The sequence below is a fragment of the Homo sapiens genome, chromosome 17, assembly GCF_000001405.40.
Source record: "Homo sapiens chromosome 17, GRCh38.p14 Primary Assembly".
NCBI classification, from domain to species: domain Eukaryota; kingdom Metazoa; phylum Chordata; class Mammalia; order Primates; family Hominidae; genus Homo; species Homo sapiens.
The window spans coordinates 19759387-19784817 of record NC_000017.11 but is presented as its reverse complement, the minus strand read 5'-3'; the positions used below and the strand labels follow the sequence as shown (position 1 = coordinate 19784817).

Below are 25431 nucleotides of genomic sequence, written 5' to 3'. Positions count from 1 at the left end.
ATGGTGGTTCATGCCTGTAATCCCAGCACTTTGGGAGGCCGAGGCAGGAGGATCACTTGAGGTCAGGAGTTTGAGACCAGCCTGGGCAACATGGTGAAACCCCATCTCTACAAAAAAAATACAGAAATTAGCCAGACATGGTGGCATACGCCTATAGTCCCAGCTACTTGTGAGGCTGAGGTGAAAGAATTACCTGAGCCCAGAAAATCAAGGCTGCAGTGAGCTGTGATCACGCCACTGCAATTCAGCCTGCGCAACAGCAAGACCCTGACTCAAAAAAAAAAAAAAAAAAAAAAAAAAAAAAGTATCATGTCCAGTGTTATTGAGGTTTAGTAGGATCTATGTGCTTACTCAGGGCTGCGTTAGAGAGTACTATAACAGTTCTTAGGAAGAGCTGTAAAAATATTTATTGATCTATGCTAATTCCATTCCTTCTTATACCACTTCAGAGTATTTATCACAAAGAAATTATTCAAAAGAAGGAACAACTGTCTGCATTTCATTACAGTGCTATTTGTAATATGAATAAAATCAGAAATAGTATAAATGACTCCAGATAAACATTATATAATATATATAAATTTAATGAATCAGTGCATCCATTGAGTTTTATAATTATGAGGCCCTGTGGAGCAGCAAGGAGAAATGAATATGATCTAAATTTGTTTAAAACAGAGTATAAAAAAACTAGCTCTGATGATGTCTAATATAAAATATATAGACAAGGAATAACAATGAACATGGATAAGTAAAAACTATTAATATCCTCAAATAGTACATAGGGGGTCAGTGAGTTTCTTTTAACGAAACTTTCCTTTGTCACCTCAGCAGGTTTGTTTAGTAAATAAGAGTAGGAGTGGGTGTGAAAGCCCTAACTCTGGACACTGCCATGTATCCTCTGTTTCCTTGTAGTGGGGCCCAGCAACTCCGGGGGCTCTCTTTGTGCCATGAGTGGCCGCGTGTGCGTGGGGTCCCCGCCTGGCCCAGGCTTCGGCTCTTCCCCTCCAGGAGCAGAGGCAGCTCCCAGCCTGAGATACGTGCCTTACGGTGCTTCACCCCCCAGCCTAGAGGGGCTCATCACCTTTGAAGCCCCTGAACTGCCGGAGGAGACGCTGATGGAGGTAGAAAAGAGACTATAGTGGTGTGAATGTAATGTTGATTTGATATGAGAACATTCTAGTGATGACAAGAACAAAATACATTAAATAGTTAGGAAGTTATGTTCTCTTTAACGTGCCTTTTCTGTTTGAAAAGTATTGCTGATGTCTTTTTAAATTAACATTGACAGTGACACTCATCCATAATAAGCTTTGGTTTATAGGAAGAAACACATAGATTCTGTGTTTTTCTTTCTTTCTTTTTTTTTGAGACAGAGTCTTGCTCTGTCACCCAGGCTGGAGTGCAGTGGTGCAATCTCGGCTCACTCCCACCTCTGCCTCCTGGGTTCAAGCAATTCTCCTGCCTCAGCCCCCACGAGTAGCTGGGATTACAGGCACACGCCACCATGCCCGGCTAATTTTTGTATTTTTAGTAGAGACGGGGTTTCACCATGTTGGCCAGGCGGGTCTCGAACTCCTGACCTTGTGATCTGCCCACCTCTGCCTCCCAAAGTGCTAGGATTACAGGCGTGAGCATTCTAGTACATTCTATTGCATGTTCCAGTGTATTGAAACATACAGTGCAATATGCTGTCACAGAGCAGAGAGACTTTTAGAAGTCAATTGGCTTATTCTCCTGTCACTAGGAAAATGATTCTCATCTTTATTTAACCATAAAAGAGTGGGAAACTTTTAGGCTTGAGATTTCAGAATGCATTTATAACTAAAAACAAATCTCAAAACAACAATCTAGAATACCCATTTATTTATTTATTTATTTGTTTGTTTGTTTGTTTGTTTATTTGAGACAGAGTCTTGCTCTGTCACCCAGGTTGGAATGCAGTGGTGCGATCTCAGCTCACTCTAACTTCCACCTCCTGGGTTCAAGCCACTCTCCTGCCTCAGCTTCCTGAGGAGCTGGGACTACAGGCACATGCCACCACGCCCAGCTAATTTTTGTATTTTTAGTAGAGACGGGATTTCGCCATGTTGGCCAGGCTGGTCTCAAACTCCTGACCTCAGGTGATCCACCCGCCTTGGCCTCCCAAAGTGCTTGGATTACAGGCATGAGCCACCATGCCCGGCCTAGAATGCCCATTTTTAAATGACAGCCCTCTGAATGCTGTTATGTCTACCCACACTCCCCTCTTTAACTAACTGAAAAGATCACAGAAAGTTAGAGCTTTGGTATTAGTAATCACTGTTAACTGAAAAACGACCAGAAATTAAATAAAGCAACTCTGAAATTATAAGAAGTCAGCAGAATTCAATACAGTATCAAGAAGTGTGATTTAGCACCTATAGTATCCTTGTAATCTTTGTGTCTACCTTGTCACGTTTTTGTCTCATGTATATTGATTTAATCGTTCAGCTTTCTTTTCTTTTTCTGGTAAAAGCACAGCGACCCATCCTGAGTTTACTTATGTGGGTACTCTGATACACATACACAAACACATGCATATACCTATATTTGGTTTCATTTGTGTTCATTTTCTTACCAGCTTTCTGAAATTTAAAAATTTCAATCTCCTTTTGTCATTCTGATACTCATAAGTATAGAAAACATGATCAGCGGCCATGGTTTATGTACAGAAATGAGTATGTACGTATTTTTAATCTGAAATTTTCTAAGACAAATTGACTTTGCTGCAGCGGGAACACACAGACACCTTACGCCATCTGAATGTGATGCTGATGTTCACTGAGTGTGTGCTGGACCTGACAGCCATGAGGGGAGGAAACCCTGAGCTGTGCACATCTGCTGTGTCCTTGTACCAGATCCAGGAGAGTGTGGTGGTGGACCAGATCAGTCAGCTGAGCAAAGACTGGGGGTGGGTGCCCCCTTGTCATTCATTTCCAGACTTTTCATGCTTTGTCTAAACTTGTGTCTAAGTTGTAGGTATTGTCATCCACTGAAGATCATATCTCATTATTAAAAGCTAGGAGTCTCAATTATTTCTTTGTACTACATTTCACTATATGAGCCAAGACCTGGAGATTATGCAACCTCAGTGTTGCCTTTCCTTGTAAATTATACTGTTGAAGTTCTTTTGTGTAAATAGATTGTATTGATTTTTATCTGAGTGTATCCGTTATTTTCACAGTACACACATCTTTAACTATGCCTTGTCCCTTGAGAGTTTACTTGTGCATTAAGAAATTAAGGAGGGCTGGTCGCAGTAGCTTATGCCTATATGTAATTCCAGCACTTTGGGAGGATGGGGCAGAAGGATTGCTTGAGCCCATGGGTTCGAGACCAGCCTGGGCAATATGATGAATCCCTGTCTCTACAAAAAATACAAAAATTAGCCGGGCATGGTGGTGCGTCCCTGTGGTCCCAACTATTAATATTCGGGAGGCTGAGGTGGGAGGATCCCTTGAGCCCAGGAAGTAGAGGCTGCAGTAAGCCAAGATCAAGCCACTATACTTCGGCCTGGGGGACAGAGCAAGACTCTGTCAAAAAAAAAAAAAAAAAAAGAAAAGAAAGAAGAAAAGAAATCAAAGAGGATGCTATTCCTTTATAGAAAGGCAATTTTAATGGTGACCTGTTGTGTAGAGTGCCACATCTTACATTAGTTCACAAGATAACCCTCTGCTACTGTCTTTTGGGTGCAGGCGGGTGGAGCAGCTGGTGTTGTACATGAAAGCAGCACAGCTGCTTGCGGCTTCTCTGCATCTTGCCAAAGCCCAGATCAAGTCCGGGAAACTGAGCCCATCCACAGCTGTGAAACAAGGTATGGGAGAAGGCAGCGTGTAACTCCAGGGGTCAGTCCTTAAGTTGCTCTTTCCCATCACACTGTGAGAGAGTGTCTGATGAGTACTCACTGTTGTTTTTATTTTTCAGTATTCTTAAAGGGAAAAGATGCTGGGTTGTTAGCTTTTTGCAGTTCAATTGATAGAAGTCTGAAGTGCATTATTCTCAATCTTTTCATATTGAAAGAGATAACATGAAAAAATCCTATTTCTGGTCCTTTTTTTGAATGATCACATAGTGACACCTTCCCTATATATCAGCAGGAAAGATACATATAACTGTGTCTTTATTTCTGGAGGAAAATTAAAATTAGTTCCCATCTCAATTTTTTTTCAGTTGTCAAGAATCTGAACGAACGATATAAATTCTGCATCACCATGTGCAAGAAACTTACAGAAAAGCTGAATCGATTCTTCTCTGACAAACAGAGGTTTATTGATGAAATCAACAGTGTGACTGCAGAGAAACTCATCTATAATTGTGCTGTAGAAATGGTAACCCTTTCTAAGGTTTAATATTGTATAGTACTACTTATCTTTAAGTGTCTTTTTAATTGAATATCTATATGACAGCTATCCTTTTAAAAGATAATGTCTCAAGTCCCAAGTATTGTGGATTGCCTTCTACTAAAGAAGTAATTGGATTTAAGCAACTGTTAATGTCATTTACTGGATGTATTTTAAGTAATTACAAATCCGTTTACCACATTTGCTATAAGTTTATTACAGCTCTTATTAAACATTGCTGGCATTAGGCATGATCTAATCTTTTTTTTTTCTTTTTTTTTTTTTCTTGAGACGGAGTTACTCTGTCGCCCAGGCTGGAGTACAGTGGCACGATCTCAGCTCACTGCAACCTCTGCTTCCCAGATTCAAGTGATTCTCCTGCCTCAGCTTCCTGAGTAGCTGGGATTACAGGCACTTGCCACCATGCCCAGCTAATTTTTGTATTTTTAGTAGAGATGGGGTTTTGCCATGTTGGCCAGGGTGGTTTCCAACTCCTGGCCTCAGGTGTTCCACCCTCCTTAGCCTCCCAAAGTGCTGGGATTACAGATGTGAGCCACCGTGCCCAGCCGATCTAATCTTTTTATAGTGTGCATCTAAAAGCATTAGCAGGATCTGTTTCTGCATTTTCTGCTGTTTAAGAAAGTTAGGCTTGATAAAACTCTTAGGAAAAACACTGCTTTATTAATCAATCCACACAAATTTATGTGCTCAGGTCCCACTTACTGATATTGTAGGATAGACACAAAGTAAAACCTTCTTTTCCTATTTTCTGGTTTTAATATTGGAAATAATTTGTTTTCTGCCTCTCGGGGAAAAATTACTCTAAAGTATAAATAAAAATAGAGGCTGTTGAAAAAGTAGTTAAGTGGGGGAAAATTCATTAGTTAGCCAATCATATGTTTTTCTTTTTTTTTTTTTTTTTTTTTTTGAGATGGAGTTTTGTTCTGTCGTCCAGGCTGACGTGCAGCAGCATGATCTTGGCTCACTGCAACCTCTGCTTCCCAGGTTCAAGCGATTCTGCTGCGTTAGCCTCCCATGTAGCTGGGATTACAGGCACCTGCCACCACACCCAGCTAATTTTTGTGTTTTTAGTAGAGACAGGATTTTACCATGTTGGCCAGGCTTGGTCTTGAACTCTTGACCTCAGGTGATCCACCCACCTCGGCCTCCCAAAGTGCTGGGATTATAGGTGTGAGCCACTGTGCCCGGCATGCCAATTGTATTTCTAACACATTAACATAATAGATCCCCCTTTCCATTTTCTATTTGTCTACTGTGAACTGTGCTGTTATATTACATCCGTGGCCTTATTTTGAAATTTATTAAAATAACCATAGGAAAATAACTTTGGAATATAAATTCTTGACAAAAATAGTATATATCATATTGCTGTAAACTATTGAGATGAATAATATGCACTGCATCACTGTATGCTGAGTTGAGACCTCATATGATAAATTATTTTTAGAATTTTGCACCAGAAAAATGTCCTCCATATGGAATTATAATGCTGTTTTTCCTTCTCAGAATAAAGAGCCCTATAACTTATAAATTCCTCCGTTCGTCCTGGCTGCTTAGTGAGCTTAGAGGCATTAACACTTAGTTATTTTTTTCTTTTTCCTTGTCCTGGCTCTGATCTTCTGTATCCATTTTATTTGCTTTATTGTTAGCTGCTTGAAATTATTTTTTTTGAAGGAGAGAGAATAGCTAGGTGCAGTGGCATGCACCTGTAGTCCCAGCTACTCAGGAGGCTGAGACAAGAGGATTGCTTGAGCTCAGGAGTTCAAGATTAGTCTAGGCAACAGAGCGAGACCCCATCTATATAAGAATGCATAAATACATTTTAAAAATTAAAAACAAAAACAAGATATAGCATATTAACAAGTAAATTCGGATACTGGATTTCTGAGAGTTCTGGTACTTAATGATCAAAGAGAAAATCAGAATGTCGATGGGGAAACCCCTGTGAATAATGCTACCATCCCCTCTTTCTGGAGAGCCCCTTCCCACATTTTTCCTCACCTGATTCACTTCTGCTGTTGTTGCTTTATGATTCAGCACAAACAGCACCTCCTGGAAGCTTCCCCTAATCATCTTCTCCTTCCGTAATATAGGTTAGAGGCATCCCCTATGTATTCCGTATCATCCAGTGCTTCCTCCTGTAACACCGTGTGTGCCTTGGCATTAGAATTGCATTTTTTGCAGGACTGTATCTCCCTCCAGACTGCAAGCTCTCCTTCATTGTAGGCGCAGTGCCTGGCACTTTGTTAGGTGCTCAATAAGTATCTTTGAATGAATGAATGACTACACCCAAAAATTATTTGGCTAGAAAAAGAAGCCAGTAAAGCCAGCAAGTGACTATTAGCATCATTTAATTATATTATTGAAACAAAATCTACTTTAATGAAATTTCAGGTTACCCTTATATGGAAGTGTGTGTTTAAAATCAATTTATAATGAAGTCATAAAAGAGCCAGTTTAGAAGGGTTCTAGTATGAAATTTATGAAGCATACCTCTGAATACCAGAAGGCTGTGTTTGAAAGCAGACCGACTTTTTATGAAGTTGCTCTTATATATTGCTCATCCCAAAGAATCTTTGAGTTTTATGTAGTTTTGCAGACTGTATCACTTTACCAAAATGTGTTAATTTTAGGTGGATTCCATTTAAAGCTTCATTGCCCAAATGGATTTGTATTTTCTTGGAAAAATTGAGAGAATTGTGTTTTTGTTGACTGGTTCCAGGTTCAGTCTGCAGCCCTGGATGAGATGTTTCAGCAGACCGAAGATATTGTTTATCGCTATCATAAGGCAGCCCTTCTTTTGGAAGGCCTAAGTAGGATTCTACAGGACCCTGCAGATATTGAAAATGTGCATAAATGTAAGTTGACTTACAAAGTAGTGTATTTTTTTACTTCATTTTAGTTGTCTATCACAAGCATAGTACAAAGAGCTTGGAGTTTGGAATTCTGCCTTGGTTTGAATCGTGGCTTTCCAGCCTTGTGCAAATCACAGCCTTTGTGTGGCCTCAGCTTCTTTTTCATAAAATAGGAGTAGGGCCAGGCACAGTGTCTCACGCCTGTAATCCCAGCACTTTGGGAGGCCAAGGTGGGCGGATCACCTGAGCTCAGGAGTGCAAGACCAGCCCGGCCAACATAGCGAAACCCCGTCTTTATTAAAAATACAAAAATTAGCTGTGCATCATGGCGCATACCTGTAAGCTCCACTGCTCGGGAGGCTGAGACAGGAGAATCGCTTGAACCCAGGAGGTGGAGGTTGCAGTGAGCTGAGATTGTGCCACTGCACTCCAGCCTGGGCGACAAAGCAAGACTCCATTCTACGTAGTTAGGTAGGTAGGTAGATAGGTAGGTAGGTAGGTAGATACATACATAGATACATAGATAGATATATAGATAAATAGATGCATAACTAGATAGATACATAGATACAGCAGTGCCTGCCTTGCAGGGTTGTTGTGAGGATTACAGGTGATGCATGAAAAGCACTGGTGACTGCGTAATTCATCTTTAGATTTCTACACGGTGTTACTTTGTTGGCAAGTGTTCGTATATGTAGGAGGACTTTAGTTTTATTATTAAATGTAACTGTTTTAAGCCTCATGGGCTTAGTGACTAAAGAGTCCTGTGAAACTTCTGTGTACTGCAGACTTGGTATAGATAGCAGACTGGAGATTGATGGGATACCAGGATGTTATTACTTATCACATACAAGCCCAATAATCTGGTTTTTTAGGCAGAGGTGGTGGACTGGTTGGAGTGTATGTGGTCCTGCTACATTTTGAGTAGCCACAGGAGGATGGCAGTTCTAAGAGTATTTGCAGTTATGAGCAAGCTAGTTATGTAGCAAGCTAGCTGATGTGCTTACCTAAATTTTACCACTTTGCAGCACTAAGCTAGAAGTCATATCTAAACTATTACCAAGCAGAAAGAAGAAAACATATTCAGAACTGTTAACTTTGGGGCAAAGATAGAATAGAGATGACAATATAGTGATTTTTTTCATTAGTTCTTCATTTTTGTTATTTTATTTCTAGATAAATGTAGTATTGAGAGAAGACTGTCGGCGCTCTGCCATAGCACCGCAACCGTGTGAGCAGCAGGCTCATCCCGTGGACCGGTGGTGGGAACGTGAGGTGATGCCTTTGGGATTACAGCTTGAGTTCTGTCACCCCATCCCCAGGAAACTGTAGCTTCTTAACTGGTGACTACCAAAGAACAAGCAGTGATTTGAAAAAGGAAAAACAATCCAAAAACTACATATTTGTAGGAAATCTGCCTTATTGGAGAAAATCACCCTTTCCCTTTTTCTTTGTAGAAGCAGGAGCAAGAGTGTTTGGCTCCCAGTTTGGACTTGGTGAATAAATGTACCTTAGAACTAGGATAATCGGTACAGTTATTCTTAAAGATAATTAAAAATGAAACAAAGTGAGTGCTCGTCACTGGGTTCATCAGAGCAGTGTGTGAAATTCCATGTGTTTGCTGAGGTGTAAAGGTAAATGTATTCACCCCTCATCCAGGCAGTTTGATATTTGGAGTAAGTTTGTTTAAATCTGAGCATGCATCTTTAAACAGCTCAGGAAGAAATAGCTTAAGAAGAAGTGAAACATGGATCTTGGAAGAAATTTTGAAATCTTCAATTTGATCCTAATATGGATACATGTTAATCTTCCAAAATCTTTCATATTGCACTAATTTATTAAAACAACTGTGTATTGGATTTTGTAATTTAACTAAGGCACAATGGACTTGTTTAAAATATTTTACTTGATTGTATACATAGACCCTTTCCAGAATTCACATGTAATCTCCAGTGAACTTTTAAGTGGTTAAAACTTGTATTCATGTGAACCTTTGCACATTTTTTTTTTTTACTTCTTTATCTACACCTACAGATTTTCTCAGTAATGTTTTTGTTAGCTTTTGGTTCCATTTTTTATTGTGCATGCAGAATGTACATTGATGCCTGTGACCTTAGGTTTATTAAAGGCTAGGTTTATTTGGGCAGTATTAGAAACAAAATCATGGATCAAGAGATACTCTTGATAATTTGAATAGGGCCAAAACAAAGTTGGTGACCTAAAGGCTTGTTAGTGATGTGGAGTTCCTACATGCAGTGAGTGGAAAATGAAGTTCGTTTTCTCTTAGGAAAATGGGCAGCTGTCTTCTGCCTAATGTGTATTTTTCATGTTAATTCTGACAGTTCACCAAATAGCTAGTCATGGAGAATGCAGGCAGTTAACTTAATATCCCTCCAGGAATGGTTCCTACGTTGTGTATTACTTGGTTTCTTTTACTTACCTGCTTGAATACTTGAATAAACCATTCACCAATTTTAATCCTTTTATTTTAATCCTTTTACATAAAATAATCTGAACTCTTTGACAAATTGCACAGAGCTCTTTGGCATTAATCTAATTTTAATGTACTGATAAAAACAAACATGGTTTTCCTTTACTTTGACAAAGTAATGTAATTTTTACCTTATTTATCTGTATGAAATTCCAGTAGTTAATTTGAACATTTATTTATATGACGTTTGTATTTTTAGGTCTTTAATACAGTGTTTCTACCTCTCATTTGTAACTGCATGCATTATTCTTGAAACTAGGTAAAACTCACTGAATTGTTGTGTAATAGCCTTTTTATTATTGCCTGTACAAATGTATATTAAGGTAAAATAAAACTGACAAAGTGTTTCTAGGGTGTAGCTGGGTACATATTAAGTGGCTTGTTGAGCCAGGTACTTCCTTAGTGAGTTTAGAGACTTGGCCATGAATATCCTTTGTCCTGCCCCAGGATTTAGATCTTGGCTACTGTCATGCAGGCTTCCAGGAACATAGACTGTTTTACCTCCACAACCCTATTTGTTATTAGTGATACTTTATTTTATATAATATTTTTTATTCACAGTGAAATTTCATTCATGTTCTTTCAGTTATCACCTGTGTTATCTCAGTTGTAGGTTTATTCTATCCTCTCCTCTTCCTCTCCCATTTCTTTTTTAAGACAGGATGAAACAGGTTCAGAGAGGGGAAGTGATTGGCCTAAAGTCAGGAACTAGGCAAGTGGTCAAGCCATGCTTTGTGACTTTCAAGTTAATTCTTCTTGTTCTTGTATATTAAAGGTCTTGGGGTAGATGGTGTGTGTGAAACAGTGAAGTCTCAACAGCAGAAAAGAACAAAATGTAAATTCATGAATAATGGTTCTGGTTATACTTCCATTATCAAGGCTAATTAAGAGATTTTGCCTTGAGTATAGCAATAATAAACAAATGCTTTATGTTTCCCTGAGTATTTTTAAATTTCATATCGTGTTTCATAGAGTGGAAATGTACCAGTTCATACATTCATGGGTTGACACCTGTATTCAAGCCATAACCTGGAAAATTGCTGACCAGCTATTCCTGCTCTAAGGGTTTGCTTTAACTATACCCTCCACTGGACTATATATAGAGAGAGAGCCTATGCTGTATATAGTTGGTTTCCCACAGTCCCTGTCCCCTCCTTCCATTGAGAGAAGTAACTAGAGCAACAGTTGTTCTCCCTCGCTGGAGTGGTGAATAGGAGCCGGGAGGAGGGGACTGTTAGGGTCGGGCTGCCTCAGTCTCCACAGTAATTAAGAGGAAATTGAGTTGGATACAGCGGACATGAGGCCTGGAATGGGTACCCCAAACCCATGCATCTTAAGTGTCTGGGTCCCCACGCCCCCTTCTGCCTGCCAGGAGTACTCTGTGCAGCCATCCTGTAACTGCTTCAGTCCAGAGAAGGATAGCATCCATCCCTCCCTCCAGCTCGCCTCTCTGCTGAGGCTTTCTCCTCTCCACTCAGCATTTGCAACAGCTTCTCTCCTGGCACTTGTCTGGGAATATCAAGTTAAAAATTACAACACCCAATTTTGATAACTTTAGTTGAGAGAAACAACCTCTAGTGAAGACTGATAAGTAACTTATTGCCCGTAGTCCCATGTTCCTTTGTCTCCACCAAGAGGAATTACCAGCCCAGCAGTTCTGCCCTCACTAGAGTCCCGTCCAGGAGCTTGAGAGGAGAGGATTTTTAGGGCTGGATTGCCTCAGTCTGCACAGTAATAAGTTGAGTTAGACACAGTGGACATGAGGACCTGGACTCAGATATCTGAAGAATCCTTATTATTTTTTTGTTGGCTTGTTTTGAGACAGAGTCACCCTGTTGCCCAGGCTGGAGTGCATTGGCGCAATCTTGGCTCACTGCAACCTCTGCCTCCCAGGTTCAAGTGATTCTTCTTCCTCAGCCTCCCAGGTAGCTAGGATTACAGACATGCGCCACCACGCTCAGCTATTTTTCGTATTTTTAGTGGAGATGGGGTTTCACCATGTTGGTCAGGCTGGTCTTGAACACCAGCCTCAGCCTCCCCAAGTGCTGGGATTACAGGCATGAGCCACCGTGCCCGGCCAAAATCCTTAATGTTTTTGTTTTTTGGTTTTTTTTTTTGAGACAGTCTTGCTCTGTCACCCAGGCTGGAGTGCAGTGGCACAATCTTGGCTCACTGCAAGCTCCGCCTCCGGGGTTCATGCCATTCTCCCGCCTCAGCCTCCCGAGTAGCTGGGACTACAGGCGCCTGCCACCACGCCCGGCTGATTTTTTGTATTTTTTAGTAGAGGCAGGGTTTCACCGTGTTAGGATGGTCTCGATCTCCTGACCTCGTGATCCGCCCGCCTCGGCCTCCCAAAGTGCTGGGATTACAGGCGTGAGCCACCGCGCCCGGGCTATCCTTAATGTTGATATTAGTGGTTAGCACATGTTTTGGAGGAGGACTTCACACTTTTTAAACTATGCTCCCTCGTATTTTCTATAAGCAGTCTTAAATTCTTTCTGGAATAAAGCAAGATTGATCAGTATTTCTCAAGGAGGATTATTTGGCAGGCAGTAGCTACTGCTCAGAGAACTTGGTATTGTTACATGCATCCTGGAAGTATCTGTGCCTATTTCTAGACGGCCTCAGACCACTTTTTTCTGAGTCCTGGACCCTTGAATCTGCAGCCAAGCAAGCTCTTGGGTCCCTCCCAAGTCTCATGTTTAGTAAAGCCCTGTGAGAATAATTTTATTGGTGGAGGAGTCAAGATGATACTTCCCTCACCTGCATCAGAGGAAACCACATCAGAAACAATCCACCTAGAAAAACACTGCATACGGGAAAGCTGACAACTTGCCCTGAGAAATCACAGCTTTGGTGCAAGAGGTGAAGCCGAACTGGTAAAAGATCAAAGTGAATTCAGAGATCAAACTGTACTAGGGAAAGGAGCAGAGGCTGAGATCTTGCTGCCAGCGTGACCTCTCACAGAGTGGCCCAGCAGAGGCTGTGCAGAGATGGCCAGAGCCAGGACCCAGCCCTGTGGAGCCCCTGGGCACATGTGGTCCCGAGTGAAGCCGTGCCTGTTGCTCTGAACAGGTGGGATCAATCTGTAGGTTTTTCCACTTTTCACAGAGTGTGGCTCTCTTTAGGTCTGCACTCCCTCTCTGCGCAGGGCGGACCTCCCTGGGCTCTGCAGCATGATCTCCTGTCCCAAGACAGTCGTGCTCTTGGACAGTTAGCTTCTGTCATTAGGAAGTGCCCACATGAGCTCTTGTTTATTGGAAACCGTGTTCTATGCCTCCTTTGGGGTTTCTGCAACTCAATTTGGCAGGTAGCTTAGTGGTCCACTTGGTCTCAAATTCCAGCTCCACCATGTGCAGTTGTGTGTTCTTTGGCAAGTTCCTCCCCTCCTCCGAATCTGTCAGTGGGGGAAGAGTGCATGTCTCACAGAGTTGAGGTGAGAAATAAGTTAATGAATATGAAATTCTTTGCCCAGCCCCTGGCACGTGGAAGGGCTCAGCAATCCTGTATCCGTTGTAGTGGTCATCACTCTGTGGCTCTTCACTGCTTTTGTTTTGTTTTGGGAGGGGGTGGAGAACAATTTGTTCTGTGTTTGTGTGGGGCAAGGCCTGTCTTCAGGGCTCTCTCCAACCACGTACGCTCTGGCTGGAGCTTCTGAAAGGACACAGTTCTTGCATAGAAGTTGCTTTCTCCAGCTTGCCCACCAGGCAGTCTGGCTTCAGACATCTATGTTGCCCTTTTAAGTCAATTTGGCTGTTTAAGTGGAATGTTTGTGTCAGTCTGATAATTGTTAATTCATTTGATCCTCATACCAACCCTTACTTGCCTCCTTTTACAGATGGAAAAATCAAACTTGGACAGTAATTTCCACAAGGAAAAGCCCCACAGCTGGAAAGCGGTGGGAGCAGGAGGCCACACTGGGTACAGGAGTACCCATCTCCCCACAGGAGCCCCACACTGTCTCACCCTTAGGAAGCCCAAATGCTCACTCCTTGAGTTTCTAATGCATTCTTTCTGATGTACAGGAAGAGGGGAAGGAAGGAAGAGCTTTTCCATTTGGTGCTCCAATGTCTCCTGCTGGACCCATCTGCCTAGTGGAAGGCAGCAAAATTTCAAGAAACAGGTGAGGTTGAGCAGCTTGGTGCAACCCCATGGGGCCTGGAGTTGGAGCTCAACAGCAATGGATTTCAGAGACCACCCTGAAACTCCCAGTAAAAAAGACTTGGGAGACATGTTAATAAACTCAAGCATTTGATCGACCCACTTTTAAGTGTTCCTGTTTGCTTGTTTTTGCATATGGCAGTGAGATTGAGCAGCAGGGAATTGTTTCAGTGGGAAGTGGGAGGACTCTCAAGTCTAGATGTGCCCAGAGGACCCTCCCCTGCCATAGGCCCTGCCGCCTGCTGGGGCCAGTTCCTTCACTGATGGCAGTAGACATAGCCCCTTTCTCCAGGAAAGCCCTTTAGAGGCTGCCCTGCTGAGGCTGCGTGCACTCCCATTCTCACCTCGGCCTGCCCAGCCTAGCTTTCAGTGCCAGTCCCCTTTGGCTTACGCAGGACGAGGATGGCATGTAGAACCCCATCTCCAGCCACCAAGTCCACCCAGCTGCTGCCTTCTCCTACCTTCTGTCCTATTGTTCCCATCTCAGCCCACATGGGGGCCCTTGTTTACACTGGCACCCCCACCCGCTACTACAGGGAGAGGCTGGGGAAGAAGATAGTGGCTGAGCCTGGCCAGATCTCTGGAAGGCCTCTCCCAAGTCTCACGGGCAATAAAGTGACTTCTTGTCTAGCACATGGATTCCCTTCAGGAAGCAATGATGGGAAACCTACAGCCAGGGCTTCTGAGGGGCCCTGGGTGGCTAGAGGTTATTGCTCCACTTCCTCTGGAAAATTTCAGTGAAGATGAAGATGAGTTGATAAACTTTGGAGCTAAACCAAAGATGACTGATTTAGGTAGGAATTCTCATAAAGAGCAGGAAGAGTGCAGGCTGCTGATTTGATATGGAATGCCTTGTGGTTGGAAAATGGATTTAGTTTCTAGTAGAAACCCAGAATATTTTGAGCACGAACAGTTTTGTTTTCATAAATCCCTTTTACATTCTGAGAAAGAAAACAGCACCCCCATACACCTGTCTCTTTGGGAGAACTTTCCTACAATATGATGAAAGTATGCACAAAAGGTTTGAATACATTTTAAGTGTTTATAAGATGATAAAGATATATCTGTGGGTGTCCAATGGAATAAGTTTTCCTTCCCTATCTGTAGTGTCTGATGGACTTGGAAAATGGGAATTATTTTAGAGGGTGGGTGAGACTTGTTTGTTTGTTTGAGGCGGAGTCTTGTTCAGTCACCCAGGCTGGAGTGCAGTGGTGCGATCTCAGTTCACTGCGACGTCCGCCTCCCAGGTTCAAGTGATTCTCCTGCCTCAGCCTCCCAAGTAGCTGGGATTACAGGTGCCCACCACTAGGCCTGGCTAATTTTTTGTGTGTTTTTAGTAGGGATGGGGTTTCAGCATGTTGGCCAGGCTGGTCTCAAACTTCTGGCCTTCAATGAACCACCGCCTCAGCCTCCCAAAGTGCTAGGATTACAGGAGACATTTAATTTTATATTCCATAATGCTGATATTTTTCACCATGAGCTTATATAATTAAAAAAAAATTTTTTTTTTTTTTTTGAGACAGAGTGTCACTCTGTTACCCAGGCTGCAGGCTGGAGTGCAGTGGCACGATCGCAGCTCACGCAACCTCTGCTTCATGGGTTCCAGCTATTCTCCCACCTAAGCCTCCCAACTAACTGGGATTACAGGTGTGTGCCACCACGGCTGGCTAACTTTGTGTGTGTGTGTGTGTGTGTGTGTATTTTTTTGAGATGGAGTCTCACTCTGTCGCCTTGGCTAGAGTGCAATGGCGTGATCTCGTCTCACTGCAACCTCTGCCTCCTGGGTTCAAGTGATTCTCCTGCCTCAGCCTCCTGAATAGCTGGAATTACAAGCACGTGCCACCATGCCCAGCTAATTTTTGTATTTTTAGTAGAGACGGTTTCACCATGTTGGCCAGGCTGGTCTCGAACTCCTGACCTCAGGTGATCCGCCCACAGCCTCCCAAAGTGCTGGGATTATAGGCATGAGCCACTGTGCCTGGCCTAATTATGTAATTTTTAAAAACAAGGTTTTTTTAAGTATAGGAAAACTAAAAGACTAGGAAAGATTTGCAGTAAATTCAACAGATGAAGGGAGGTTAAAGTAGGGGAAAATGTTAGGAGAAAATCCAGAAATTCTCTTTGCTCCTGACAGCCCCACTTCACCAATGGTGAGCAGCAGAGGGGCCTGAAAGGGTAGTGGGTTTGAGAGGCCCTGGTGTCCTGTGGGGCCCTGCCACATGCCCTGGTTGCCTCCTGTGTGCGCCGACACTGACCTGGGTGAGACGCCTCACTCCCTGGGCTTCCCTGTCCTTGTCAGTAAAGCAGAGACAGAAACACAACATGCCTCTTGGGTTTCCTGCAAGAGTTAAATGAGCTGCCGTGGAAAGTGCACATGGCAGTCCCTCCCTGAGGCTGGTGTGGCCAGCAGTGGGAGTAGCAGAGGGAGGCTGAAAGGACACGGGAGGCCTCAGGATCCACTCTGTTGTTTCTCCTCATTGGCCATCAGATGTGCTTCCTCTTTGTCACATCTGTATTTTGGAAACGTAAACCCTCCTTTCCATGGAACATGTGCTAAAATAACATTTCTTAGAAAAATTGGTCTCAAGAATATATCGTTCACTCAGTAACAAAGGAGTCAGCAGTGTGACAAATGTCAATTCAAAACGGACCTGAAAACTGAGGTCTGTTTTGGAAACAGGATGCTTATTACATAAGTAATTTGTGAAAAATAAGTTGCTTATTTTGGTAAAGGTCACAGTTTCCTTTTACGTCTATGGTCATAGAAACATTATATGGGTTGTTACGGAGGAAGTCTGGGGCAGGATGGTCCAAGATAACCAGGTGTGTAGACCAGGGGTTGACAAGCTTTTCCTGTACTGAAAAATACAAATATTTTAGGTTTTGAAGACTGTCTGGTCTCTGTCGCAACTGCAGGAGTCCCACCTTATTCATGAGGTTATGCTCCAAGACCCCCCAGTGGATGTCTGAAACCTTGGAAACTGCCAAACCATATATGTATGCTGTTTTTCTCTATACAATCACATAGTATAGGGTGGATCACATATGCGGCGTGGACATGACAGACAAAGGGAATGATTTGTGTCCCAAGTGGGATGGCAGAAGACTACATCACACTGCTCAGAATGGTGTGCAACTTAAAACTTAGGAATTGTTTATTTCTGGAATTTTCCATTGTTTTCTTTCTTTCTTTTTTTTTTTTTTTTTTTTGAGACAGAGTCTCTGTCGCCCAGGCTGGAGTGCAGTGGCATGATCTTGACTCACTGCAACCTCTGCCTCCTGGGTTCAAGTGATTCTCCTGCCTCAGCCTCCCCATTAGCTGGGATTACAGGCCTTGTGCCATCACGCCCAGCTAATTTTTACATTTTTTGTAGAGACGGGGTTTCGCCATGTTGGCCAGTCTGGTCTTGAACTCCTGACCTCCGGTGATCTGCCAGTCTCAGCCTCCTGAAGTGCTGGGATTACCGGCGTGAGCCACCGCATCCAGCCTTAAACAGAATTTAATGAACTGTTAGTTTACAGCATGCAAATTTTTCTCCATTGGTAGTTTTGGAACATACTTGTTTTTCTGCTGCTTTGAGAAATGAGGTGTTCTACTTTTAATCTTCCTGTGTGTTATTTGGACAAGTTACCTTCCCATCCTGAGCCTCAGTTTTTCCATCCATTAGAGAAGATAAGAGGACTACTACTTTCTAATCCTACCTGTGTGGGGAAAATGCTCTTTGCACAGTGCCTGGCATTTAGCAAGTGCTCAACAAATGGTGGCAGCAAGCAAAGTGAAGCTCTCCCTGCCATGCTGGGATCTGATGCCCCTGTTCCTAGCAACAGCTGCCTACAGTGCCGGGGAGCCAGGCCTTGGGCTGTTGCCCTGTCTCTCAGCAGGGCTATGTAAGCATATTGATTTTTGCAAAACCAAGTTCTGGTTCCTTGCTGTGGGGCTGACAAAAAACCATGGGGTCGATCCTCTATAAATATTTTAGCTATGTCCTCTGTTTTTTAAATACAAAATGTGTACTCTAGCCCTTGCCTGTCTGAATTGAAACAAACTCTTTTGAGGTCATGTGCCTCTGGACCCCCACAGCCACACACTGTCAGCGGCAGGCCCCACCCCTGGGACTCATGTCCCACCTCAGTGCCTTCTCTGCCTTTGGAGAAGGAGCTTAGGTCAGGCCCCACACACCTGTCCAGCCCCATGTGTCTCCCCGACCAGCCCTACTGCCAGCAGCGCCCCGTGGGCTGAGCCAGACCTGGGCCAGCCCTCAACCGGCAGAGGGCGCCCGCCCCCAGGCAGTGAGGCTTCTCAGGCTGCTCCCTGAGAAAGGACAGTGTCTTGCATGGGGAGGGGAGAAGGGACAGTGAGGTAACTTCTTCCCAAGGGGTCGCCAGCAGGGACCCCTTTGAGAGTCTGAGGAAAACCTCAGAAAAGGCACAAACTCACAGAAAACGTGAGAGCTGCCCTCTTGGTGCCCCCCTGTCACTAGATGTTGGGGACTCCCAGCTCCCCGGAAGCCCATCTCCCTTCTTAAGGGAAGCAGTGAGGTGAGTCCTCAAGTCCCTTTTCCCCAAAGAAGCTCTGCTGTCTTGCCCCAAAGATTCCTCGATCCCCTCTTGGGGCTGGTCAGATCTGCCCTTGGCTTGAGAAGGGGCTGGGGAGCGAGCCTGCCCCTAAGGAGACTCGGACCTGCAGAACTAAGGGCCACCCCCAGGAGGGAAGGGCTGCCCTCAACACACGTCCCTTCTGGGGCCTGCCTCTGCTCGGCAGGGCAGGGGGTGCCCCATGTGGAGGACTGCTCTAGATGGGCTTTTGTAGGTGAGAAAGGTAAGACCTCAGGCCTACTAGCGCATAGAAGAAAAAGATTCTGGCCGGGCTTGGTGGCCCATGCCTGTAATCCCAGCATTTTGGGAGGCCAAGGCAGGTAGATCACCTGAGGTCAGGAGTTCAAGACTAGCCTGGCCAACATGGTGAAACCCTGTCTCTACTAAAAATACAAAAATTAGCTGGGTGTGGTGCCTGGTGCCTGTAATCCCAGCTACTTGGGAGGCTGAAGCAGGAGAATCACTTGAACCCAGAGGGCAGAGGTTGCAATGAGCCGAGATCACGCCATTGCACTCCAGCCTGGGCAACGGGAGTGAAACTCCATCTCAAAAAAGAAAAAAAAAAAAAGCCTGCTGCCAGGAGGTCTGATGTGGGGCAGGTGGGGTCTAGGGTAGGAGTTCCCTTCCCTGGATGTTTCCTATGCCAGAGGCTAATGGACAAATTTTGAGAAATTGTGATGTTTGGCTTGATATTGGGTCTTTTTTTCCTGTCATTCATGCCCTCGAAGCCATTTGTTAAGCACCTGCTCTGAGTTGGTGCTATACTATGACACAAGGGAGAACGCCAGGGCATGGCCTGCCCTCATGAGGCACACACTGTAGATAGGACGTTGATAAAGACAACATGACAATTGTGACTAATGCCACAGAAGACAGGTAGATGATGTTGTTATGTGGACTTGTGGGAGGGGAACTGGACCAGCCAAGGAAGTCAGGAAAGAAGGGAGCATGAAGCCGGCGGAGAGGGGAGTGTTCTGAGCCGGGGACCAGCATGTGCAAAGGCCAGCAGGTTTGCTTTCTGCAGTGCAGTAATCACTTTCGGAAATCATCTTGTGTGTATTTTTACTTGTTTATTATTATTATCACCTCACTAAAATGTCAGCTCTCTAAAGCCAGGAACCTTACTGTCTTACTGTGTCCCTAGCTCCTAGGACAGTACCTGGGAGATAGTAGGTACTCAACATATATCTGATATTTGTGGAAAATAATGGCTGACATACACTGCATGTCTTCCCCATGCCAGTCAGTTTTTTTTTTTTTTTTTTAGACGGAGTCTCACTCTTGCCCAGTCTGGAGTGCAGTGGCGCGATCTCAGCTCACTGCACCTCTGCCATCTGGGTTCAAGAGATTATCCTGCCTAAATCTCCCAAGTAGCTGGGATTACAGGTGCCTGCCACCACGCCTGGCTAATTTTTGTAGTTTTAGTAGAGATGGGATTTCACCATCTTGGCCAGGCTGGTCTTGAACTCCTGACCTCAGGTGATCCACCTGCCTCAGCCTCCCAAAGTGCTGGGATTACAGGTGTAAGCCACTGCGCCCTGCCTGCCAGTCACAGTTCTAAGCATTTTATATGAACCCACAGCCAGCCCATGAGGAAACTGAAGCTTAGAGAGGTTAAGTAACTTGCTTAATTTCTCATAGGTGGTGAGTCCCTGAGCCAGGATTCTAACTCAGGCAGGCTTCCTCCAGAGCTCATGTTCTTACAGCCCATCTCTAGATGTAAATGAAGCAGATGGATCTGCTTAGGTGCAGCTTTAAGCATGTTTATGTATATGTGAGCAAGTCGGGGATTTCAGCTCACAACAGAACACAGGCTGTCAGCACTGTCACTGTGTGACTGCAGGTCAGAGAGTCTGGGTGGGAAGAGAGAGAGGGAGAGGTATGTTGATGAGCTTGCAGCCTTTTTTTTTTTTTTTTTTTTTAAGACGGAGTCTGGCTCAGTCGCCCAGGCTGGAATGCAGTGGCGAGATCTTGGCTCACTCCAACCTCTGCCTCCCGGGTTCAAGCAATTCTCCTGCCTCAACCTCCAGAGTAGCTGGGACTACAGGCGCCCGCCACCATGTTTGGCTAATTTTTGTATTTCTAGTAGAGATGGTGTCTTACCATGTTGGCCAGCTGGTCAGGAACTCCTGACCTCAAGTGATCCACCCACCTCGGCCTCCCAAAGTGCTGGGATTGCAGATGTGAGCCACCGTGCCCAGCCTTGCAGCCATTTTTAAGCATGGGATGTGGCTTAATCAGATTGGCAGGTTGCAGAAAAGATGAGAGGGGCACAGATGGATTCAGGGAGACCAGATGAAACTTACTCACATGAGAATGATGGATGATTTCAATAGATGAGTAGGAGTTAAAATGCCTTGGAGATCAATAGGATGTGGGTATCTATCAGTATTCTCAGTTGCTAGAAAGTGTATGAGTTAATTTTTGCTGTATAACAAGCCACTCCAAAACTTAATGGCTTAAAATAATAAGCATGTATTATTTCTCATCATGCTTATGGGCGAGTTAGGCAGTTCTGGTCTGAGTCAACATGGCTGGTGGTCAGTGGTCTAAGACAACTTCACTTGGGTTTGTAGACTTGCATGATGTTTAGCTGGGACATCAAGGATGACTTGGCCTCCTGTCTGCCATCATCTGGCAGGCCAGCTCAGCCTTGTTTACATGGTGGTGTCCCATGGTAGGTGGAGAGCAAGTCCCAGGGCGCAATCACCAGCACCCTACGTGTCTCTGTGCCTCATATTTGCCAGTGTCCCATTGGCCAAAGCAAGCCCCATGACCAAGCCCAGATTCAGGAGGTGGAGAAATCCCCCTATTGATGGGGTTTATAGCAAAGGCACATTGTAAAGCTCTGTACATACAGGGATGGGAGGAATTCCTATGGCCATTTTGTGCAGCTTAGCAAAAATGGGAACATAGGAACAACTTTGGCTTATTTAAGCAGAAAAGAACTTGTTATTTTTTTTAAAGGCTATTTGTAAGAATTTGGGGGAGGCCTGGAGAGCTGGGGAAAAAAAGTCAGAAATGAAGCTGCAGAACTGGAATAGGCAGAGGATGTCAATGCATTGCTGACACTGTGTCCGCTGCCTCTCGGGAAATTTGATCTTGTGGCAACCACTACTGCTGTCAGAGAGAAAAACCCCTGAGGTCCCCACATCTTGGCTCTTTTAAGGTCCAGTGTCGGCCTGTTGGATTGGTGAAGCTAGGTCACATGCTAGGAGACCCTGTCTGCAAGGTGGGCAGAGCTTCCAGCAGCGTGCCTGGCATAGCCTTTGTATAGAGAGGAGAGGCTGGGGGGAAGGAGAGACACAGACATGCGGGCAGTGGTGCATGGCTTTGCTGATTGGTCAGGGGCTTAGAAGAAGCAAGATTGGCAAGTTGGAGCGAAGGCGATCTGGAGAAGACTTGTGATAACCCAGGCAGTGAGCAGACAGTACTGTGTTTAGTGTCAGCGCCCACCAGAGGGGCACAGGACAAACCAGGTGGACAGGACGACTTGTCCAGTGAAGGTCAACTGGCCTCCATCCTTGGCCACCCTGATGCTTGCACCGTGAGCCCAGGATAAGCCTGCCATGGTGAAGGAGCTGCAGGCTACCCGTGGGCCCAGCAGGCTGATTTTGCTAAGCTCAACCTGCCAGCAGCAGAGGGCAGTGCTGAGTCCTCCGGGTGCACCATTGCCAGGGGAGACCAGCCAGACCGTTGCTCAGGCGCCCCCGCGGAAATAGCCAGGACCCAACTCAGTGTTGCCCTTGCGCTGGCTCTCCTTCCCCGGCCCTGCTTTTGAGGGATGCTAAGTGAGACTGCTTTGAGCGTCTCCCTCCGATGGAGGGCTGAGGCTGCTGGCACCCCTCCTTGGTGGCACCTTTGGGAGAGCTTTTCTATGTATCTTCTGAAGCTTGGGGGACATGCTAGGTGGGTGTCTGCTGCCTGAAAAATCAAATGGCCAGGAGTTCATTTCTGGCCAGCTGCTCTCAAACACTTTGTAGGCCAAAGACTGTGCAGCAGTGCCAAGGGGGCGATGTGGGCAGAGACGCAGGCAGGGAGAGCTGGGGGTCCTGTCCAACATGGCTGCTCCAGGGCTTGGGGTAAGGGGGCCTTGGCAGGAAAGCAGGGGGTGTCTGTCAGAGGCTAAGGAGCAGCAGAGGAGCATGAGCCGTCTGTAGAGATGGCATCTCCTCCGTCAAAGGGAGCCCAGGGCAGCAGTCCTTGGGAACAGAGGGTGTGGGAGGCTGTCAAAAGCTGCTGTGTGAGCGAGCAAGCCTCGGACCTCAGAAGAAACCACCTGAGACTGGCGCGAGACAAGAAAGCTGCTCCCCAGCCCCTTTGCCTACCTTCCCTCTGTGATCTTAGTGGAGCCCGGGCTCACTGAGGCCGAGGAGGAGGAGGAGGAGGAGGAGGAGGAGAAGGAGGAGCAAGGTGGGGAGGCTGAGAAGCCTATAGGGCCTCCTGCCCACCACAGCACCTGCAGCTGCAGAGGCCCACGGGGTGAGGTACTTGGAAGAGGCTCCAAGGATTACCCCAACGGGCATTTTTTTTTTTTTTTTTGAGATAGAGTCTCGCTCTGTTGCCCAGGCTGGAGTGCAGTGGTGTGATCTCGGCTCATTGCAACCTCCGCTGCCAATGTTCAAGCGATTCTCCTGCCTCAGCCTCTCGAGTAGCTGGGACTACAGGCGTGTGCCACCACGCTGAGCTAATTTTCTTGTATTTTTAGTAGAAACGGGGTTTTGCCATGTTGGCCAGGCTGGTCTCGAACTCCTGATCTCAGGTGATCTGCTTGCCTCGGCCTCCCAAAATGCTGGGATTACAGGTGTGAACAACCACGCCCGTCCCCAACAGGCATTTTTTTTTAACTGACTGAAATCAAGTTGTTATTCATGATCGGAGAGGGAACATCATGGACTTGCCCCAGTTCTCGTCCCAAGGTCCAGGAAGAACTAGCTGCAGAGCTCAGAGGAGAGAAAAGAGAGTTGTTTTTCTGACGGCAAACTCTGAGACCTGCCTGTTCACTGTAGCGATTAAGTAACCTCCATGAAAATAAGTGTTGTGAGGATGTGGAGAAATTGGAACCCTTGTGCATGGCGGTTGGGAATGTTAAAATGGTGCAGCTGCTGTGGAGAACAGTCTGGCAGTTCCTCAGAAAGTTAAACGTAGGATTACCACATGATCCAGCAATTCTGCTTCTGATTATATACCTGAGAGAAGCGAAAGAGGGTCTCGAGGAAATCCTCGCACCCCCATGTTCATTGCAGCGTGATTTGCAATAGCCAAAAGGTGGAGGCAGCCCAAGTGTCCACGGGCTGGTGAGTGGAGGAGTAAAATGAGGCATAGACAGATGGTGGGATGTTATTCAGCCTGAAAAAGGAAGGAAATCCTGACGTGCTGCAACACGGGATGCATCTTGAGGACATCACGCTGAGTGAAAGAAGCCAGACACAGAAGGACAAATTTTGTATGATTCCACTTCCATGAGGCACTGAGTCGTCAGGTTCATAGAGACAGAGGAGAATGGTGGTTTCCAGTGGCTCTGGGGAGTTTTTTTAATGGACACAGAGTTTCAGTTTGGGGAGGATGAAAAAGTCCTGGAGATGGATAGAGCTGATGACTGCACACAGTGTGAATGTGCTTAATGCCACTGAGCTCTACACTTGAAAACGGTTACAATGGTGAATCTATTTTATGTATTTTTACCACAAAAGAAATATGAAAAAAATAGGTCTACATGGAAAAATAAGGCACTTGTTTGCCAGTGTTTGTTCCTTAGTTCCAGCTCTGATCCTGCTGGCCCCAGACAGGCATCATCAGTTATGAGAGAGCACCTTTCTCCTGACCAGGGCTGTCACTGTGTAAAGCTCATCGCTCACAGTGGGACCTTGGCAGTGTGAGCTGAAGGCGCATGGAAGAAAAAGTCGGTGCAGATGAGATCAGAAGCCGAGGGCTCTGGCGCTGAGCATCTTAGTGAGGAGGGCCAGGTGGGCCTCCCTAAGGGAGAGGGAGAGAGGAGGGGCCTCGGGCCATGGTGTCAGCTTCCGAGGAGCTGGGATTTGTGGAGACAAGCACTGTCCTGCGGCCTGGATGCACCACAGGGCTTGGAGGAGCCCTCTCCACCCCAGGTCCTGAGGCGTGAGGGGCCTGGAGAAAGGCAGCACCCTTGGGAAGGAGGGCCGCAGGGAAGCCGCCCTGGTCCTTTGGGCAAACAGATTTCGGGTTCAGGAAGGGAGGAGGAGGACTGTGCTTTCCAGAGGGCCCAGAGGCAGGGTTTGGGTGGATGGATGGACAAGAGGGTGGCAGGAAGGAGGGGTGGGGCGTGGGGCGGGGCAGCCAAGGAGCAGGGAGCGTGGAAATCTCGAAATGACAGGTGAGTGGGGAGTGAGGCCCCATGGATTCGTGCAGGAGGAAGGCATTAGGCCACGTGTTGAGATGCTTGCTTTTGGTGGCAAGCAGGCCTCGGGGCTAGGGCTGTGCGTGTGAGTGTGGGGCCTCACTGAGCACAGGCATGGGAGTCCATGGACACTCCCTGTCTCCTTCCCGCTTCTCCTCCAGCAGGCAGGAGGAATGAGGCAGATGTGCAGAGACAAGCAGGGGGCAGGGAGGGCAGAGGGAGAGGAAGGGAGACAGACCACACCCTCATGCAGCGGTCCCCAGGCCCCGAGCTTGCTCCTACACCTGCATCGCCACAGCTTGCTCCTACACCTGCATCACCAGGGCTCCTCCCAGAGGGCCAAAGCAGCATCTTCTCTTGGTGCTTGTCATTTGCAGGAGAGGCCAACTAATACACGTCCACCTGAAGTTTACTCTGTGCTCCCTACTGCCCCCAGAACACAGTCCAAGCACCTCCGCCCTGCATTCAGGGTGACCCAGCTCCGCCCCACCCATCGCACCCCAGCTCTGCCCCACCCATCGCACCCTCTCAGGCCTCCATGAACAGACCTGGTCAGGCAATGCGTTTGTGCTT

General features: G+C 45.8%; 1 protein-coding gene across 5 annotated transcripts in view, besides 4 other annotated features; it reads left to right on the top strand.

Moving 5' to 3' along the window:
* Positions 1-13988, top strand: part of ULK2 (unc-51 like autophagy activating kinase 2) — a 97107-nt gene extending 83119 nt beyond the window's left edge. For 3 of the 5 annotated variants that reach the window (XM_047437147.1, NM_001142610.2, XM_017025425.3), the window contains exons 22-28: positions 913-1121; positions 2751-2929; positions 3714-3832; positions 4189-4346; positions 7102-7237; positions 8411-8509; positions 13751-13988. In XM_047437147.1, coding sequence (XP_047293103.1) covers positions 913-1121; positions 2751-2929; positions 3714-3832; positions 4189-4346; positions 7102-7237; positions 8411-8469 — 860 coding nt within the window. In that variant the 3' untranslated portion in view covers positions 8470-8509; positions 13751-13988. Of the gene's footprint in view, positions 1-912; positions 1122-2750; positions 2930-3713; positions 3833-4188; positions 4347-7101; positions 7238-8410 lie in introns of those variants that run through there. The other 2 variants (NM_014683.4, XM_047437148.1) reach the window with 2 other exon arrangements.
* Positions 17905-18054: an enhancer, noted in NCBI's record as "active region_11864". NCBI's record gives its function as "activates an Ori minimal core promoter by ATAC-STARR-seq in GM12878 lymphoblastoid cells {active_cell/tissue: GM12878}" and the evidence as "EXISTENCE:reporter gene assay evidence [ECO:0000049][PMID:35858748]".
* Positions 21856-22356: an enhancer, noted in NCBI's record as "H3K4me1 hESC enhancer chr17:19665775-19666275 (GRCh37/hg19 assembly coordinates)". NCBI's record gives its function as "activates a minimal SCP1, AML or CMV promoter by ChIP-STARR-seq in naive H9 embryonic stem cells {active_cell/tissue: H9 hESC(naive)}" and the evidence as "EXISTENCE:reporter gene assay evidence [ECO:0000049][PMID:30033119]".
* Positions 22232-22321: an enhancer, noted in NCBI's record as "active region_11863". NCBI's record gives its function as "activates an Ori minimal core promoter by ATAC-STARR-seq in GM12878 lymphoblastoid cells {active_cell/tissue: GM12878}" and the evidence as "EXISTENCE:reporter gene assay evidence [ECO:0000049][PMID:35858748]".
* Positions 24884-25421: an enhancer, noted in NCBI's record as "H3K4me1 hESC enhancer chr17:19662710-19663247 (GRCh37/hg19 assembly coordinates)". NCBI's record gives its function as "activates a minimal SCP1, AML or CMV promoter by ChIP-STARR-seq in naive H9 embryonic stem cells {active_cell/tissue: H9 hESC(naive)}" and the evidence as "EXISTENCE:reporter gene assay evidence [ECO:0000049][PMID:30033119]".